This window comes from Homo sapiens, chromosome 8 (genome assembly GCF_000001405.40).
Source record: "Homo sapiens chromosome 8, GRCh38.p14 Primary Assembly".
In the NCBI taxonomy this organism is placed as follows: Eukaryota; Metazoa; Chordata; class Mammalia; order Primates; family Hominidae; genus Homo; species Homo sapiens.
The window spans coordinates 60,228,806-60,249,145 of NC_000008.11; the positions used below are offsets into that span (position 1 = coordinate 60,228,806).

At 40.7% G+C, this 20,340-nt stretch overlaps 1 protein-coding gene across 5 annotated transcripts in view; it reads right to left on the reverse strand.

The window, feature by feature from the left end:
* Positions 1 to 20,340, reverse strand: part of CA8 (carbonic anhydrase 8) — a 95,989-nt gene that overhangs the window by 43,394 nt on the left and 32,255 nt on the right. For 4 of the 5 annotated variants that reach the window (NR_135821.2, NM_004056.6, NM_001321837.2 and 1 more), the window contains exon 4: positions 3,479 to 3,574. The exons of the other annotated variant lie outside the window; for it this stretch is intronic. Coding sequence is in view for 3 of the 4 variants with exons in the window: in NM_004056.6 (NP_004047.3) it covers positions 3,479 to 3,574 (96 nt within the window). In the remaining variant the exon portion in view is untranslated. The remainder of the gene's footprint in view (positions 1 to 3,478; positions 3,575 to 20,340) is intronic. 5 annotated transcript variants of the gene reach the window in all.

The following is a 20,340-nucleotide window of genomic DNA, read 5'->3' on the forward strand; positions in this document are numbered from 1 at the left end:
CTATTACTAGCTCCTTCTATCTATAAAGACTCTACTTTATGGGCAAAACCTCATATCTTGCAAATTCTATAAACTCTGCTATTATGCCATCTCTTTCTTTTCCTTCCTTGCCAAATTTGTGTATGAAGAAATGATGACCAGCAAAAAGCAAGTACTGATGATAATCTCCACACCCCAGCTGCTAAAACCGTGCAAGCAGCTGTTCAGATAACACAACCTGGTACCAAGAGTCCACCAGGAACCTTGAGAACAACTCATTTCTCACCTCTCACCTTTGCTGTCTTTCGCCACCACTGGAAATGCAAACCACTTTGGTCCGTTCTCCTTTCCTGGCATCTCAGCCCTGAACCACCTGTTTTTTTTTTGTTTTTTACTTCTAACTCAATCTCTCCTTATCTTCCACTGCACCCTCTAGAACAGAACAACTCTGCATTTCTGCCAACATCTCCCACCATTTCCTGATCTACCTGAACCCTTCGAGTCTGCCCAAGGGCACAGCTCTTTTGCAGGCCTTTCAAGTGGACGCCATGCAGTCCCCCAGGGAGACAGACTGGGGTCCATGGTCAGTGCACTCTTGCTCCCTTCAGGGTGGAACTCTGACCCACGTGCTCAAGCCATCCTCCCGAGGGGACCATCTTCTAAGGCTATCACGCCCTCCTTCTTTCTCCCTTACTGACCCACTAGTCAATCTCTCCCAGGCATCACCTCCTGCTGCCACCCTGGATGACTTCAGCATTCAGGGGGTGACCCATCCCCTCCCTGGCCTAAGTCTCTTCACCCGTCAGTCCGTGGCCTTCTGCCCCATTCCACCTGAGCAAACCAACCCTGAGGACACTGCTGGTACGTGCTCTCATTCTGAAAACTTTAACTCTGAAAGACTGGCCTCTCTGACCAGATGCCCCGGGCCATCCAGCTCTCCTGCTCTTTCCTCTCTCCCCTTCACTGATCACCAGGTGCCAAGGCTGGCAGGTCCTTGTGGCCTCTCCTTCCCCCTCCTGCCTAGACATGGTGTGGGACTGGCTAGACAGAATGATATCTCTCCAACCACTCTCCATTCTTTAATCCTTTTACCTCCTAAATCATCTGCTCTCTGATGGATCAACACGACTTACCAGAACTCTCTACTCCTTTACCCGGATAAAGAACAACCCACCATACCCTGTCCTGTATGATCTGGGGCATCCAATCCCAAGGGGGTTTCCCTCAGTGACTGCCAAATATATTATCATCCCCTTCTGGTCTATTTCAAGACTCAATCCCACACCCACGTTTTCTTTGCTCTATAAATAATTTTGCTTTGTGTGTCTCAGAGATAATGAAGGTTGTCAGGCATGAACTCCCTCAATGTCCTGCCTTTCTCCACCTACAAATCGGCCCCATGTGTGTCCACACTTTCCTCCTGGCCCTCTGTTTTGGAGAAGGGGTGGGTCTGCTCCTATCTGAGATTAGTCCACCTGCATAAGCTCTCCATCCCATGCCCTCTTGCCTCCTCCAGGACTTTTCCACATCAGTGACACCCTCTCTTTCCAGTATTTTTAATCTCTATGTCTGCAATAGCTCTTATTGCTCAGGGAAAAAAAAATACTACATGCAGATCTCAGATCTCAAAAGATTCACTGGACATCATCGCCAGTTATTGCCCCATCTGTCCTTCCTTCCTTTGGCCAAGCTTCTTGGAAGGAAAGTCTACTCAATGTCTCCGACCTCCTCCCTCCAAATTTCTCTCATCCAGCCTGAGGACCCGACCCCCCCGATGGATTTCAGCCCATCCCTCCCTTCCCCTCTCCTTCCCTCCTTCCCTCCTTCCTTCCTTCCTGAAATTTTGCTCTCAGTTCTGTGATTTCACTCTCTCCTGAGAATTTGCACACAGATAACCTGAATTTTTCATCACAGAAACTTATGAAAAGTTAGAAAAAGTGTGCTTGCTCTCCAGGCTTTCCCTTCCCTGCAATAATGCAGCTTGTTCTTGGAAATACTCGCAGTAGTTCTAAGGGGCTGGGTTTTCAGTCCGGGGCTCTACGAATCCAGGTCACCTGTTAAATGCTAAGAATCAGGAAGTGAAAATACTAAGTTATCACACCTAATTCCATCCACAAATATTTATTGAGTACCAATTCCAAAGATGAAACTGACATGTTCCTTTCCCTTCTATATATGAATATGTGGTTATTTGTATTCTTATTTTTATTTTATTATTTTTTATTCTTACTTTTAATAATGAGATAGTACATTCTACTGTCTCAATTTCTCAGATTTAGATATTTTATTAACTTTTCTGGGTTATAACAGTAGTCTTTCATGATTGTTACTTCAATATACTAAAAATTATCAAAATATATTTGTATAATGAAAACATTTTTCATTAATATTTTGTGATTTCTTTCTAGTTATATAACGCCGTTATAAAACACAAGGAATATAGGTCCCCACCTGTGACACCATGAAATAAATAGTAAGAGGACTCACTGAAAAATGTAAGGATTTCCTTTAAATTTCTATGACGTGTCATATTTGCAAGATGCTGATTTTAAAATATTAAGAGCCTAAACTGGATGGCTACTTTCAAACATCAATAAAGACATATCTAGGAGATATGTATTAAAAATTGTTGCAATTAATTTTTGATATATATGCCATAAAAAAACAAGTTTAAAAGGGCCCATTATCGAACTCTCTTTGGAAAATTAAGTTTCTGAAGAACACTGTGCTAACATGCTCTAATCCCAGGTTATCCAATAGGCAGCCCAGAGCCACGCAGAGCTGCAACTCTGGTTTCTGGTCCTGATGGCAGCTTTAAAGCTAAAATTTCCAGATACTCTTTCACCTCTAAATCTTTTACGATGTCAAACAGGTAATAAGACAAAATTTAGAAGATTCGCCTTAAAAACTGAGTTAAGTTTTTACCTCTGAAAGCACGTGGCCTGCTTTCATATGTTTGGGTAAATTTATATACTCTTCTTTGCCTACCACAGAGCTCAAATCCAAATGTTATATTGACTATATCTGCCAAGGTCTTTGCCAGTCTGATTTTTATCAGTGTTTCCTATAAGGCATTTCAAGTCATCTCAGAGTGAAAATTGTTAATAAAGAAGGGCTAAAGTAATCTACTACATACTTCTATTATTGTTATTGATTTTTTTTGTAGATTTTTCTGTAAACCAGGGTCTAAAGAAATTTTCTGAAATCCTTTTTCATAAAATAAACTCTACCTTCAGGAGTCATTTTCTAAATCATTTCTCCAAAGACCCTGAATGCTACTCTGAAGAAAATTTCTAATAAATAAAGGAACTATTTTCTACCAATGAATATGTCTGAACTCCGATAAACCATAAGGATCAAGTTTTCTGTTTTTATCAGGTGTTCTCTCTATGTGTGTAATTTCATCTCTAAGCAATAAAATTGAGAATAAAAAAATTTTACAAAATGATTTAGAAATTAGCATCTCTAAACAATACGATAATCACAGCAGACCGTTTACCTGAACAAACAGAGCAATGATGGCGATTCCGTGCGGCTTCCCCACAGCCTCATCAATGCTGCCAAACAGAGTGGAGTTCCAGTGGATCAGATGGAGCTGAGTGAGTGGCAACAGACAGACCACATCATTTAATGTGCTACTTCTAATCATAAAAGCAAAGATATAGCCATTTCTTTACTATTTCTATATGGTATCACATACCACAAGAGGATCACAAGTAGACACAAACTACTGGCTTAATACGAGTTCTCTGTATGAATTCCTTCCTTCTTATTTCTGAACAGAAGCAGTGCTTAGTGGATCACTGCCTCTTAAGTCCAGTTTTAGTCCTGATGAGGAGGAAGACAACTGGAGGGACTCACAGACTTCACATTGATTCAGTTATCTTTCCTTGGATGTCATCCTTTTGAATCTCCATGAAACAAAACTCCAGGTCTGGGCACAAACACTAGAACTCATTCAAAGGATGAATACCTGCATAATCAAATACTGCATCACCCAGTACTTCCATCAGGAGATGTACAAAGCCAGTTTCCAGTTCCAGTAAATTATTTCAACTTTCTAAGAATATTCAGAGATAGCATCCTGGAAAAAAAAAAGCTGCATATTTAAAGCCACGGTAAAATAATAAATGCTGATGTAAATCTCTAAAAGAAGGCGATTTCCTGCACTGGCGATAAAATTTTATCTGTGAAGAAATGACAAACAATGCTCAGAGGCCTCCCTCACTCCTAGCCTCATAAAGCTTTGCAGCTTTCAAGTTTATCTAGAATATGCACTTGCTCCTACAGCACTGATAAAACACTTGCAAGAAGCCAAGCTCAATTCCTGATTAAAAACCAAATGTCCACTGAGGTTCCTAGTATAATAGTAGGTAGGTAAACCTTCTGCCTAGAATATTACCTTCATCACTATAGCTTTTCATCGTTATAATTACTTACCGCCTTACAACGTCGCCTTATTTTAAAATTAGTTCTAACACCAAAAGACATAGCTAAAATTCAACCACTATTTATTTTAGCATTTATATTAAAATATTCAGGAAAATTATCATAAGGATGGCCACAAATTGGATTTTTCCACTGCTGAATTTACCCAGGTAGAATCTGATATTATAAAACTGACCACTAGGGGGAGCTAATGAAGTCCTCTACCAATAATAGAACAGATAACTAGGAAAACACTGTACCCATGGCCCACTCAGCCAGGTCAGGCTGTGAGGCTGTGAAAAACTCACAGAGACTGTGACTACCCAGTAAATGCAACTGAAAGGCACTGCTTTTAAGAAAATGATGTCCTATAATCTCTCAATAATAAAAGACAATTTTAATCTTCCCTTCTCCAGCTGCAACAACAGCATAGGAGTCCTAGTGGTAGAGGTAAGAACTGATTGCCTTAATTAAACCACCAACAAAGAAGGTCTAGGCCCAAGGTTAAAATAAATTTTTATTCCACAAATTACAAAATTCCAACTGGCATTTTTCTTACTTCTCACAGCAATATTTTGGGGCATTTTTTTAAACAAAACATTAATAAACCACAAAAGCATGGGTTTTTCTTTTTCCCTACTCCCCACAATTCAGCAACATCATCACTCACAGCTGCCCTTCAAAAGCTGCTGCACATTTTTTGTGTGTTTAAAAAGCTGAGGGTCCCCACTCCTTAAGTGTGCACTGTGGGTGGTGACTTTGTTTCAAAGAGTAAAGTATGGAACAGGGATAAAAATAGTGACTTTACAGTGGATAAACCTAACAAACACTATCTGATCAAGGTCAACATCAACAGTGATTAGTCATGTTGATAGGGTGTATGTATCCCTATATGTGATGAGCACTTTACTGCTGTGTTTTCTCTCAATGACCCATAACCCAATCTAGCCACAAGAAAAACATCAGACAAATCTCAGTGAGAGACACTCCACAAAATACTTCACCAGTAAGTACTCCTCAAAACGGTCAAGGTCATCAGAAACAAGGAAAGCCTGAGAAAAATGTCACAGCCAAAAGAAGCCTAAGAAGACATGAGAACTAAATGTAATATGGTGTATGGTGCCATAGGTGAGATCCCAGAACAGAAGAAGGACATTAGGTAAATACTAAGGAAATCCAAATAAAATGTGGATTAGTAACATATCAGTATTGGTCCATTAATTGTAACAAATGTAACCATGCTAATGTAAAATGTTACTAATAGAAGAAACTGGGTTTGGGGTATATGGGAATTTTCTGTACTGTCTTTATAATTTTTCTATAAATGTTAAACTGTTCTAAAAAATATTCTTTTTAACAAAAGACAAAAATTAAGAGAAATGCTGGCACTTCAGCCAACCCAAGCTAACAAGGATAACAGAAGGTTGCTATGACCCCCACATGTCCAGCAAAATAACACGAAATGAAAGCAGCAACAGCAGCTCTCCCACGCATCCTTCACTCTACCTTCTGGGTCTTCAATAACCACCTGAGTCTTGGCGGTTCCAGGGCAGAAGAGATTCTCCCTCCCCTCACAATAACAAGGGACCCAAGCTTTGAAAAACAAAGCTCTGTCCTGCTTCTGATAAACCTTCTTCTCTTGAAGGTCCTTTCTCTCATTTTCAGGCCAAACAAATCATGACAGACCCCCTTTCTACACCAGTAGAGGTTGGCTAATTCAAGTACCAGGCAAATGTCCAACCCATTCTGGAACTTGGCCAACCTTCAGCTGTAACCTAGTAGTGGTAACCTAGGTGCGTGGCTCACAGGCACAGCACTCTGCACCTGCGCTGCCTCTCAAGTTAGCTCACTCTGCTACCCATGCACCTTTCCTCTCCATCTGTATGAGTCTGCTAGGGCTGTCATCACAAAGTGGCACTGACTGGGTGGCTTAAACAACAGACATTTACTTTCTCACATTTCTGGAGGGTGGAAGTCTGAGATCAAGGTGTGGGCAGGGCTGGTTCCTTTTTAGCCCTGACTCCTTGGCTTATAGATGGCCACCTTCTCCCTTTATCTTCACACAGTCTTGCCTCTCTAGGAGTCTGTGTCCAAATTTCCTCTTCTTATAAGGACACCAGGCACAGTGGATTAGGGCATGCCTAATGACCTCCTTTTAACCTAATTATCTCTGTGATGACCCTATGTCCAAATACAGCCACAGTCTGATGTGCTAGGAATTGGCACTTCAACATGAATTTGGCAGGGACACAATTCTGCCCATGACACCAGCTATCTCACCCTTTGCTTTTTGCTCACCATAAGAAAGTCTCTTCAAATCTGAAAAGCTTGAATTATTCACATTGACATCTGTTCTGCCACTGCCCCTTCTTTATTCCAATAATTTTATCATATTGTGCCTTATATTAATTAGTGCTGGTTCTGTTCCACAAAGCAAAGCCACAGAGGCAGGAAAATTATAAGTGCTTTTGAAGGACTAACAGTACCTTAGTGGGTAGCTAGAGGGTACATAAGTCTGGCAATGACAAGAGGTGAAGCTAGACAGCTAGAGGGGTCAGACAGCACAGAGCTTTAAATGTTACCATAGCTGTATTCTAGAAAACACTAAAGCAATATATTATTGCAATGAATATTATTATTATGTATGCAGTCTGGAATCAAACTCCCCCATAATAACCTCTTTCTTTCAAAGGTCTTTTTGACAGTACAGGGGCTGGATTGGAAGTAGCAGACACTGAAAGCTGGAATATAAGCTAGGAGGATACCACAAAAGTCCCAGCGAAAAAACTATGACAGGAGTGCAGGACAGTTAATTTTATGTGTCAGCTTGGCTAGGCTATGGTGCCCAATTGTTTGATCAAACACCAGTCTAGATGTTGCAGCAAAGGTGCTTCCTAGATGTGATTAACATTTAAATCAACAGACTTTGAGTAAAGCTGAATGCCTCCACTACATGAGTAGGCCTCATACAATCAGTTAAAGGGTTTAAGAGCACAGACTGAGGTCCCCCAAGGGAGAAGGAATTCTGCCTCCAGAACTCTGGATAAAAATCAGCCTGCGTTTCCAGCCTTGAAACTCAAGCTGCAACATCAACTCTTGCATGAATTTCCAGCTTTTGGCCTACCTTGCAGATTTCAGATTTGCCAGCCCCCACAACTACATGAACCAGTCCCTTAAATTAAATCCCAATCTCTTCTTTCTCCCTCTGTTTCTCTCTCTTTCTCCCTCTCCCTGTTTCTCTGGAGAACCCTGACTAATACAGATCATGCAAACAAACAAAAAAAAAGTATGGCAACCAACAGAAGTTTAAATCTGATGACGACTAATACCAATGGGAATAAAGAAAAATGAACCTAACAATTAAAGTGACAAAATTTGGGATTTATTCTTCTAAGACAAAACATGATCCCTTTGGGGAGGGGGGATGAAGTGACAAAACAATCCTCTGATGATCAGAAATAACACATTAAAACTTCTACTTATATTTATTTTTATCAAATGCCTTTTTATTTCAACTTTTTCTATGCTTCATAAAATACATAATATAAATACATATTAGTGCATGAATATAATTTATTAACAAATACATATATTATGGATACACGCTCCAAAGTTTGTTCTAATGCAGTGGTTAAAGATATCTGGAGACAAACAGGTCTGAATGGAAAAGCACATGATACTACAGATATGGCTTAGGAAACGATGAAGTGGCCTGCAGTACATCTTATGAACTGGCTTATTAAGGTCCAAGTAGACAGCTATTATCAGCAGAGAGGACTCACAAGACTCACTTCAAAGCCTAACCGCCCAGATATGCTCTGGGGTGTGTCTGGTCTATGGAGAGGGCAGGATACAGAGGCGGCAACCCTGTGCACTTCTCCAGCTCCATTATTCTGAGAGGCAATGTGCTCTCATAAAAGACCTCTGCTAGGAATCTCGTCTTAGATTCTTGTTTCAGTCCTACAACTCTTTAGCTCTGTGAACTTCACTAGTCACTAACTTCTTTCAGCATGTCTCTCTGTAACACAGGAGACTGTATCTTAAAAGCTTGGATTATTCACGCTTTTCTCTGTCTTCCCATAGTACTCTTTTTCCTATATTCTTATCACGTTTTACTGTTATTAGCATTATATATAGCCAGCAAAGGCAGGGAAGCAGGATGATGGATTCTGACAAAGAAAAGCAGCCAACTGGATTATAGTTTAGACCAAGTATGTAAATGCCACTTACCATTTCTAAGGAGAGCAAGGGTCGGCCGCATTAGCACTGCATCTGTTTAGAAGTAGACGGGTCACTGCATAGGGTCACTTACTCCTCCAGGGTCCACTGGACTAAAGATGGCTCCAGGCAGGACCCTGCCCCACAGGCCTTCAAGAGCCTGGACCTGCTCTACCTGGTAAACACACTGCACAGCAGGTGGCTGAGGGGCTGCCTCTTGCAGCCTGAACCCAAGACCTACTATGGCTACCAACAACAACAGCAGAATCCCTCCTGCTGAAAGAATCTGCCTCCAGGCTCCCTTCAGCCATTCTCCCTCCAAAGGCAAAAGGTTTGGCCTCCTCCTACACTTGGGCACCTCAGGGTAGAAGAAAGTGGTTTTCCGTAACAATTAAAGCTGAGTCCTTCCTCACTCCTTATAACTCTTCCCCCCAGCCCACCAACAGGAGGCAAGTGTTACAAAGACATAAAACAGCCAAGATCCATTATTACTCTGGCAGCATGATGACCATTATGTCTTCTGTTAAAAAATCGGACCACAGGAAAACAACCATGATGCATCCTTTTACAGCTTCAGGGAAAATCTTGGACCGAGCTTTTGCTACAGGACTCACAACTTCATATTCCCGCAACTGATTATGCTGCCTTACCATTAGCACCTGTGAAACGTTCAAAACGTTCATCTTAATGCACTTAACTCACAGAATAGATAAATTTGTCCAAAGTTAAGAAATTGCGACATGCCACAGCCTTATCATCATTTGTCACTGAGAAAAATAAGTTTGAAGACTTCATGGCAGCTTAACAGAAAGCTATCTTCACGACAAATGAGGTTTATTACTAACATAAATAATACGACGGCAGCAAAGTACCAAAGAATGAATCATGAGGAACGGAAAAAGTAGTAAACACTGAAAAGGCAATTATGACTCACAAATTTCCTTTTCCCCAGCCCTGGGCACTCATACAAATTCTGTGACATCTCCTAACTGCAAATGCAGGGACCTTTCCTTTCAGATGTCTTCTTGACACCTCAAGATGAACATTTCTACAACTGACATCAACCCTCTTCAAAGGAGCTTCCCACTCACACACTCTTCATAGAACTCCCCCTCCTGCCCCGCTTGCCAGGCTTGAGACCTGGGACCCCCGTGCCTTTATCTCCAGAGCTCATCTAGACCTCTCCTGGGCCCTGGCATTTACATTATGAAGCCCGACTAATCTCTTTTTAACACAACTTTCACCACATTTCCTCTGTTGAAAATCTCTGATTTCCTTTATTTCCTATCCATATCAGACTTACATTTCTCAAACCACATCCTTCCCCACCCTAACTCTCCCCACATGCTCAAACCAAGCATGACCCTGACTCCTCACAACAGCCTCCCCATTCTGCTTATGCCCACTCACCTGGAATGCCTTTCCCCAATCTGCCCTGACACCCAGACAAATCCTACCTGTCCTCCTAGGCACTGATGGGCATTTGACAGAAAGATGGAGGCTGGAGATGCCAGAAATAAAGGGTGCAGGGAGGAGGGGAGACAGTGGGAAGGGAGAAAGAGACAGAGAACTTCAACCAACAGACAGGAAGAAAAAGGAAGAGAAAGAGGGGAGATAACTGGGATTTCTACCAAAATCATTTTATCAAAAGGGAGATAAATTCAGGGGTGTTTTGAGGGTTTGGTTTTTGCAACAGATGGAGTCTTGCTGTCATCCAGGCTGCAGTGCAGTGACAAAATCACAGCTCACCGCAGCCTTGAACTCCTGGGCTCAGGTGATCCTCTCACCTCAGCCTCCAGGGGAGCTGGAATTACAGGTGTGAGCCACAATTGAATTCAGTTTTAGATAGGAGTGTAAACCCACATCAGAACAATCAAACTAGTGCCCCATTAGTGAGAGGTGCAGAACTGCTGCTGCCTTGAGAAAGGGCTAAAGGTACAGGGAGCAGATACCCCTAGAGCAGGGGTGTTCAATCTTTTGGCTTCCCTGGGCCACACTGGAAGAAGAAGAACTGTCTTGGGCCACACAGAAAATATACTAACACTAACAACAGCTGATGAGAAAAAAACAATTGCAAGAAAATCTCATAATGTTTTAAGAAAATTTACAAATTTGTGTTGGGCCATATTCAAAGCCATCCTGGGCTGCATGTGGCCCACAGGCCATGGGTTGGACAAGCTTGCCCTAGAGAAATGTGACCTTGTAGAGTTGGTTCACTCATGGATTGATACGGTTTGGCTGTGTCCCCACCCAAATCTCATCTTGAATTGTAGCTCCCATAATTCTCACTTGTTGTGGGAGGGATCCTGTAGAAGATAATCAAATCTTGGGAGCAGTTCCCCCCATACTGTCCTCGTGGTAGTGAATAAATCTCACGAGATCTGATGATTTCAAAAGGGGTTTCTTCTTTCACTTGGCTCTCACTCTGTCTCTTGCCTGCCGCCATGTAAGACGTGCCTTTCACCTTCCACTATGATTGTGAGGCCTCCTCAGCCACGTGGAACTGTGAGTCCAGTAAACCTCTTTTTCTTTATAAATTACCCAGTGTTGGCTATGTCTTTATCAGCAGCATGAAAACAGACTAATACATGGATCAAGTCTTGAGAGAAACTGACGGGGGACCAAAGACTGAGCTTTGGAAAATGGTGAGATAACGAAAGAGGGACTATCAAATATGCAAGAGGGAACTCAGAAAATTCCAAAGTGCCATTAAAAGAGAACAGACTTTCTAGAAGACAGTGTGGGCATCAATACTGTCAAGGAGATACTAGCAGCAAAGCTATGACAGCTGCAAAGAAACAAGGAAAAATGAGGACAGAAAGAGACTTTGGACCTATTGTTTTTTAGATTATTGAGATGGCAGTTTCAAGACAGTGAAAGGCACACAGGGAGAACACAGAGACATCAGGATAAAACAAGTGGAGCAAGGCCAATCAGCCTATAAGGTAGGCAGGATTATCAGAAAACAGACATTAGAAGTCAGCTGAAATCACTGGTTGAGAGTGAGCAAAGCTCACCTTTGACTTTTTAATATTCTTATCTATTTTCTTAATGGTTAAAAGTAAAACTGGAGAGAAATAACAGGCTGCTGTTAAGTTTTGATGAATAATAAATATTCAATGCAGCCCATGAACTCAGATGTAACTGGACCTGTAAACCACTTTCTACCCAATGTATAGTCATTAAGAACTTTCCTCTGAGCCAGGACACTATAGAGTATAGCTTCACAGAGGGAAAAAATCATCAAGAACAGATCTTTATTTCTGTGTCCTGATTTTGCTTAATTGCCTTCCTCAGCCCCCAAAAAATCCAACTATAGAAAACTGTAGCAGGTCCCAATAGATTCTGAGTTCCAGAAGCCAAGTATCTCACCCACCCAGGCTCTGCCACACTCAAAACAGCCCTTCTCAGAGCACTCAGAGGGGGCTATAAAATTTTGAAAAAGAAAAAAAAAGATTATATCTCAGCTGTTCTTATGATACTGGAAATTGAAAGAAAGAAGATAGTAAGCACTGGAAAAAGAAGGAAAAAAAGGGGGAAAAGGAAACAGAAAGTAGAACATTTAAGTCACAAAATGGGTCATTAAATAACTGAGAAATAGTTAACAGAGAAAGCACCATCTCTTTCCAGATCCACTCATAATTATATGAAGCAGCCCATTCATCAGCAGATAAATCAAGATTTAGTGTGTATTATTCTCAGATGCTGCTACGCTTTAAGTCATCACTGTCAATATATTATGCTGCTATTATTCAGAGAAGGACGTTCAAGGTGTAGACAGATATAACAGTGACAAAATACTGTAAAGCATGGAATGGAACATAAATTATTCGAAATTCTATCTCTAGCTATCACCTACTTGTTATGTCTGCCAAAACCTAACCAAGTCTTGTATACAGATAGGTAGAAGAGAAATAGGGGAATGTGACAGAGGGCTTCAGAGCAACTTCCCCCATGAAGACATTAATATCAAAAGGTATTTATAGTGTTCTTAGTAAAAGGCACTAGTGCTATGTAATTTATAAAAAGAAGATCTTATTTCAAAGCAGAATGGCTGCCTCTTTAAATGCTGACTGATTTCCTGCCTTCTTAGGAACAGGGCTTTATAACACCATTGGACTCTTCTCCCAAAAATGAAGCTTCCTTTATGAAATTCACTATAAAAGATTGGGAAAAGCTTGGTGCAGTCATAGATCAAAGAAAAGAAAAACTACATCATTTTTATGTTTTATATTTAATGTAAAATCAGAAGCAATTAAAACTCATTCTTCAACACTGGTTTCTTGATTTCCAGGAAATATCCTACATTTTATTTTCTAAAAAAAAAAAACCTGAATTGTAGGCTATAGCTGCAATTAAATTGCTATAACTTCCCTACTTCATTTATTATTTTGTAAAATAAAGAAAGCAAAGAGATTGTCAACGGGTCTTGTTATAGAATGTAAGTCATTTATAGATTGGATCTGTTCATTCTATACAGTGAATCAGTGACTAATGGCTGCAATCCTCTCCCTGCTCATCCCTGAATGAGAGCCACGATGATGAAAGAGTTCTGAAATAATGGCAGCACTCATCTCAACATTTATTGAGCACCGACAGTATCTAGGGTTTTAGTGTTCACTGCTTCTGGCACTGGAAATGCAAAGACTCAAATCTTGTTATAAAAGAATCCAGGATGTAAATAAACAAAAATAAGAAATTTATAGCCCAATAGAAGAAAAGGATGAGTGAAAAGGATTAGTGCACAATCGAAATGTTAAAGGATGCTGTGGGTATTTTTATTGATTTAATAGGCACTGATATGACATTTTCTGCCAAGAACTGTTCTTTACAAATATTACTTCATTCCATCCTCATTAGCATCTTTATAATAATAGATTCTATGACCGCCATCAAACACCTCAATTTAACAAGAAGGAAATGGAGGTACAGAAAGTGAAGTAACCTGCCCAGGATTATACAGCAAACAAGTGACAGAGACAGACTGTGGACACAGGGAGTATGGCTCTACCACCTATGCCACCTCTGATCCCAAGAGGGAGGGTTGGAAAAGACAGAGCGGGGTACACTGCACAGTGTGAGTATTCACACAAAGCACGGAGGAATGGCAAGGTTATCCGCAAAGACAAGAAAAACTAGGGAAAGGAAGGGAGAATGTGTGACCCAAGACACTGCTAGCATGCCAGCCACACACCTGGTGTTAGTGAGCACTCTCACTCCAGCTCCTGGGAAAGCTACCTGAGCTGAGTCTCCTTTGTAAAAGGGAGACCAGACTGTCTATCGTGTGATGCCCTTACAAGGGCAAGGAATAGTCTCTGGAAAGGTTTTAGAAAATACAGAGCAAGTGCTGGCTAGAGCAGAATCCGAGTCAGAGAAGTGGGAGGTTCTCTGGCGACAGAAAGGTGGGCAGCACTGAAAGGTCTAGCGCCCCACTTTAGAAAACACAGTTATGGTCACTTACCTTCAGTAGGGCTATCTTCTCATTATGCCGCTGAACTCATCTACTTACTTTCTTACAGTTTAAAGATAACTAATAATGCATTCCATTATAGAAAGCCAGATCACCGCCATAGAGCCCCAATGTCAAATGTCTCCAGAAGTGAGGACAGCAGAGCTGTGAAAAACTGAAGAATTGGGGCCATGCCTCCAAGTGTTTAAACTCTACAATTTACGAAATACAGTGCCAGCTGGAGCCGTCCTTAAATCCAGCCCAAAGGCCCACCAGTCAGCATCCCCACATACACATCACTAATATTCTAACACCAAGGTCACCTGCCTCCCAGAGAAAATAAAACCATCAGAAGGAACTGTCTCTGCTTCCTGCCAGGACCTCCTGCCAGTCCTTCCTCCCTCCTCCTCTTTTCCAGGAGTAAACATCTGCTCCTTTCTGCCACAGCACTCAAGGGTCTTTCATCCACCAGCTCTTTTCTGAGCCTTTAACCTCTCTCCCCTTAGCTCCTTCTCAACACCATTTAATATGCATAGATGTTTCTCCTCTTTAAAAAAAAAAAAAAAAATTCCTGGACCTCACATACCCTCCTACTACTTTCTCTTCACAGGTAACTGTTTAAAAAATTATCTCCACTCCCATCACCACCTCCTCCTTGCCCATTTCCTCTGCTATCTACTGAAATCTGTCTCTTGTCCCATCAGTTTAGTGAAACTGCTCACCGTCTACGGCCATACCACCCTGAACGCGCCCGATCTCGTCTGAAACTTCTCACCATGTTCCCCACTAAATCACGTTTTCGCCTGGGAGACCAGATCACCTGCTCTGCAGCAGCCGGTAGCCTTGCCTGTCTTTCTCACACTGCCCCTTCCCCTGGGTTTCGTGGTGCCACACTCTCCTGGTCTCCTTCTTCTTCAACAGCAGTTCCATCGCAGGCTCCATTACTGGTTCTCTTCCCCTCACAGGGTTCCGCCCTAACACCTCTTCTCTCTGAGCATGTTCTTGATGGCTGTTCTTATCTACTCACATGTCTTCAATCCTCACCTGGATGCTCATGACTCCAAAACCAGCATTTTAAATCAAAATTTCTGTCCCGAGACCATATCCCTTTATTAAACTGCCCAGTAAAATATCTCCAGTGGGATATTTTAAAGTTAGCATTTAACAGCTGAGTTCCCTCCACCGCCCCTCGGACTGTGTCTTTGTCTTCAGTTCCCACCTCTGGTGATGGAACCCAAGCCAGAAATCTCTTCCATCATCCTCTTCCCTTACAAACAACGAAGAGCTATGTCCTGCCCTTTCCACCTCTCAAAAATCTCCCAAATGCATCCACTTGGCTGATTCCCATCACCAGTGCCTTAGTTTCAAGATCCATAATCTATAGATAGACTTATGCCCGTCTCTTAACTGTCTCCATGCCTCCAAAGCTGGCTTTGATTCATTCTCTACCCTGCAATTATATACTGCAAGCCTGCTCATCAGGTGCTCCTATCTGCCCACGAGGTACAGTCCAACCTCCTTCACACGCAATGCATTCACTAAATGAATATATCTTTTTACAATCTTGATAAGTATGGCAAATTTGGATTATTATGTATTAACTATTTCAGGTGTGTTGGTGATAACAATTAGAGTAATAAGCTCTTTTTAGTAATAAGCATGCACATAGAGCAATTTTAATTGGGTTTAAAATTCAGCACTATTTCATTTCTCTTTCATTTGCCCGCGAAATACCACTGTCAATTTTCACACTCCAACTTTACATAGCTAATAGATTGTCTAATAACCCAGTTTTCAGAAAGAGTATTTTTTAAATCCAATTACAATTCAAACTATTACAATTTACAATAAAATGCATGTATCTGAAAATGTTTTTAAAAACCACTCTATTTTAATTCCCACTACACCTGGAAAGGTACTTGTCTGTTAACACTGCTTACTCAGGGTCTTTCACTTTTTGAATTGCAATTATCTAAAGCAAAAATCAGAACCTGTTTATTAGAAATAGGGGAAGGGGTACAGTGTATAGGGATGAGAACGGTAGTTGGTCCAAGTCTCAGCCATTACCTAAGTGACCTTGGGCAACTAATGTCTCATGACCTGATTATTCAGCTAAAAAACAGACATAACATCTACCTTTAAGGAATATTTTAATGATGAAATAAGATATGGCATGTGTCTGGCAAACATAGTCTTCATAATCATTCCCACCATTCCCTGGGGATTATGGTACAGTGCATCTTGTATTAACTCCACGGCCATGAGACAATGCAAAGAACACAAAACTTTTCAACAATATAAACACCATATATCTTCAAAATATTGTGAGAAAAGTAAATTTTGATGGGCTAAAAAAACAAATATATACATAAAGGCACATGTAACCAGAATTCTACCAAAAAAAAAAATTATCTTAAGTGGAGGAATTTTTCTTGCTCTACAACTAAATGAAACTGCCCTAATCTGAAAGACAAATAGCCCTGTGAAAATCTACACCTATGCTTTTCCCATAAAGTACTTCCTTATTTATATAAGTTTTGTAATTTACTTTAAAATCATAACAAACTAATCCAACTCACTTGTTGCTCAAGGGAGTTGCACAAAGAACCATTCTTTAGCAAACTCATCATAAACCACATTATTTCTAGTGCTAATTAAAGGGAATTATGCTTCGCTGAGATTTGTGTAAGACTCTCCTGTTAATAAAATAACAGTGCTATAGGCAATCAACTTATTTTAAAGGACATTCTAGAAAACTGACTTTTAACACACTAGTGACCTGAAATACAGAGCCCAAGTTCCCTTTCAATGTTGTAACAAGGTAAAGTATCATTTTCTTTGATTGAGGTGGAACTTGTACCAAAACAGCTTGTGAGGTTTTCAAAAAGGTCAATTAGGAACAGGAAAGGCATCAATGGGTGTGAACCAAAAAAGCTCAACAATTCAGATAGGAAATTTTACCTGTGTTTACAAGGCAATGCACTTCAGTTCAGTACAGCTCATACTGACTGGGCTGGGTGCAGCCGGGGTGGGGGGCGATTTTTAAAACAAGATTATTACATTTTGAACATAATCCAAAGTGAACAATCATCAATGGCCAAAGTGCTTTTAAATGTTGAGAGCAGATATGGGAGCTCCAGTTAGGCAGTGAGGACTTCCCTTATACCCAATCTTACCTAACCGTGAACCTCTTTCTCCAGGACTGACTAGAGACTCGACTTCCCAGCACTGCTCATTCCCCTGGTCTGCACAGTCACAAGTGCCTAACAAGTACATACACTGTACTGCTCAATGCCTTTATCATCCCAGCCATCTAAAGCATTCTCAAAAACCTATGTAAATTCAAATAACAAAAACAAAATTATTTTTTCTAAAAGTTTTTATTACGAATAATGCATTTCTGGGGGGGGTTGAGTTTGTTTTGCTTTGTTTTAAGACAGTCTTACTCTGTTGCTCAGGCCAGAATGCAGTGGCATGATCTCGGCTCACTGTAACCCCCACATCTCGGGTTCAAGCAATTCTTGTGCCTCAGGCACCTGAGTAGCTGGGATTACAGGTGTGCACCACCATGTCTGGCTAATTTTTTTTTTTTGTACTTTTAGTGAGATGGGTTTCGCCATGTTGCTCAGGCTGGTCTCGAACTCCTGGCCTCAAGTGATCCACCTGCTTTGGCCTCCCAAAATGCTGGGATTGCAGATGTGAGCCACTGTGCCCGGCCACACATTTGTGATAGAAATAATATCAATTAAAAAACTTTATTTGTATATGTATATGTACTTACTGAGAAAAGCCCCTTAAAAATGCCAAGGACTATCTTTGCTGTACATAATGTAACTCAGAAGAAAATTTTACTATGTAAAGTTATTACAGAGGTACAGCTACTATCTTTGCTTTTATATAAAAGTATTCGATATTTTTAACTAATTTCCTGTTAAGCCTTTAAAAGGATAGAAAGTGTAATAAAAACATTGTTTCTGTGGGAAAAATAATAACCACTTTTTTTTTTTTTTTTTTTTTTTTTTGAGATGGAGTCTTGCTCTGTCCCCCAGGCTGGAGTTCAGTGGCGCGATCTCGGCTCACTGCAAGCTCCACCTCCCAGGTTCACGCCATTCTCCTGCCTCAGCCTCCCGAGTAGCTGGGACTACAGGCGCCCGCCAATACACCCAGCTAATTTTTTGTATTTTTAGTAGAGACGGGGTTTCACGGTGTTAGCCAGGATGATCTCGATCTCCTGACCTCATGATCCGCCCATCTCGGCCTCCCAAAGTGCTGGGATTACAGGCGTGAGCCACCACGCCCAGCCAATAACGGCTTTTACAGTGACCACTTCATGGCATATTTTCTTTTTTTCTTTTAAGTTCCGGGATACATATGCAGAATGTGCAGGATTGTTACATAGGTATACATATGCCGGATTGTTACATAGGTATACATATGCCATGGTGGTTTGCTGCACCTATCAACCCATAATCTAGGTTTTAAGCCCCACATGCATTAGGTATTTGTCCTAACTCTCTCCCTCCCCTTCCGCTCCACCCCCAACAGGCCATGGTGTGTGTTGTTCCCCTCCCTGTATCCACGTGTTCTCATCATTCAACTTCCACTTATGAGTGAGAACATGCAGTGTTTGGTTTTCTGTTCCTGTGTTAGGTTGCTGAGAATGATGGTTTCCAGCTTCATCCATGTCCCTGCAGAGGACATGTTCTCATTCCTTTTTATGATTGCATAGTGTTCCATGGTATATATGTACCACATTTTCTTTATCCAGTCTTTCATTGATGGGTATTTGGGTTGGTTCCATGTCTTTGCCATTGTGAATTGCACTGTAATAAACACATGTGAGCATGTGTCTTTATAGTCAAATGATTTATATTCCTTTAGGTATATACCCAGTAATGGGATTGCGTATCAAATGGTATTTCTGGTTCTAGATCCTTGAGGAATCGCCACACTGTATTCCACAATGGTTGAACTAATTTACATTCACAACAACAGCATAAAAGCATTCTTGTTTCTCCACAGCCTCGCCAACATCTACTGTTTCTTGACTTTTTAATAATTGTCATTCTGACTGGTGTGAGATGGTATCTCATTATGGTTTTGATTTGCGTTTCTCTAATGATCAGTGCTGTTGAGCTTTTTTTCATATGTTTGTTGGTCGCATAAATGTCTTCTTTTGAGAAGTGTCTGTTCATATACTTTGCCCAGTTTTTGATGTTTTTTTTTTTTACCTTGTAAATTTATTTAAGTTCCTTGTAGATTCTGGATATTAGACCTTGTCAGATGGGCAGATTTCACAAATTTTCTCCCATTCTGTAGGCTGCCTGTTCACTCTGATGATACTTTCTTTTGCTGTACAGAACTTCTTTAGTTTAATTAGATACGATTTGTCAATTTTTGCTTTTGTTGCAATTGCTTTTGGTGTTTCCGTCACGAAATCTTTGCCCATGCCTATGTCCTGAATGGTACTGCCTTGGTTTTCTTCTAGGGATTTTATGGCTTTCAGTTTTACATTTAAGTCTTTAATCTATCTTGAGTTAATTTTTGTATAAAGTGCAAGGAAGGGGTCCAGTTTCAGTTTTCTGCACATGGCTAGCCACTTTTCCCAGCACCATTTATTAAACAGGGAATCCTTTCCCCGTTGCTTGTTTTTGTCAGGTTTGTCAAAGGTCAGGTGGCTGTAGATGTGTGGTGTTATTTCTGAGATCTCTGTTCCACTCCATCAGTCTATACACCTGTTTTGGTACCAGTACCATGCTGTTTTGATTACTGTAGTCTTGCAGTATAGTTTGAAGTCAGGTAGCATGATGTCACCAGCTTTTTTCTTTTTGCTTAGAATTGTCTTGGCTATACAGGCTCTTTTTTGGTTCCATATGAAATTCAAAGTAGTTTTTCTAATTCTGTGAAGAATGTCAATGGTAGTTTAATGGGAATAGCATTATATATATAATGCTATATAAATTACTTCGGGCAGTATGGCCATTTTCACGATATTGATTCTTCCTATTCATGAGCATGGAATGTTTTTCCATTTGTTTGTATCCTCTCTTATTTCTTGAGCAGTGGTTTGTAGTTCTCCTTGAAGAGGCCCTTCACTTCCCTTGTTAGCTATATTCCCAGCTATTTTATTCCCTTTGTAGCAATTGTGAATGGGAGTTTATTCAAGATTTGGTCCATTGACTAGCATACTTTAAATGAGTCAATGTTACAGTAAATTATATCTCAATAAAGCTTTTTTTTAATGCAAGAGAGTAAAATCCCTCCCT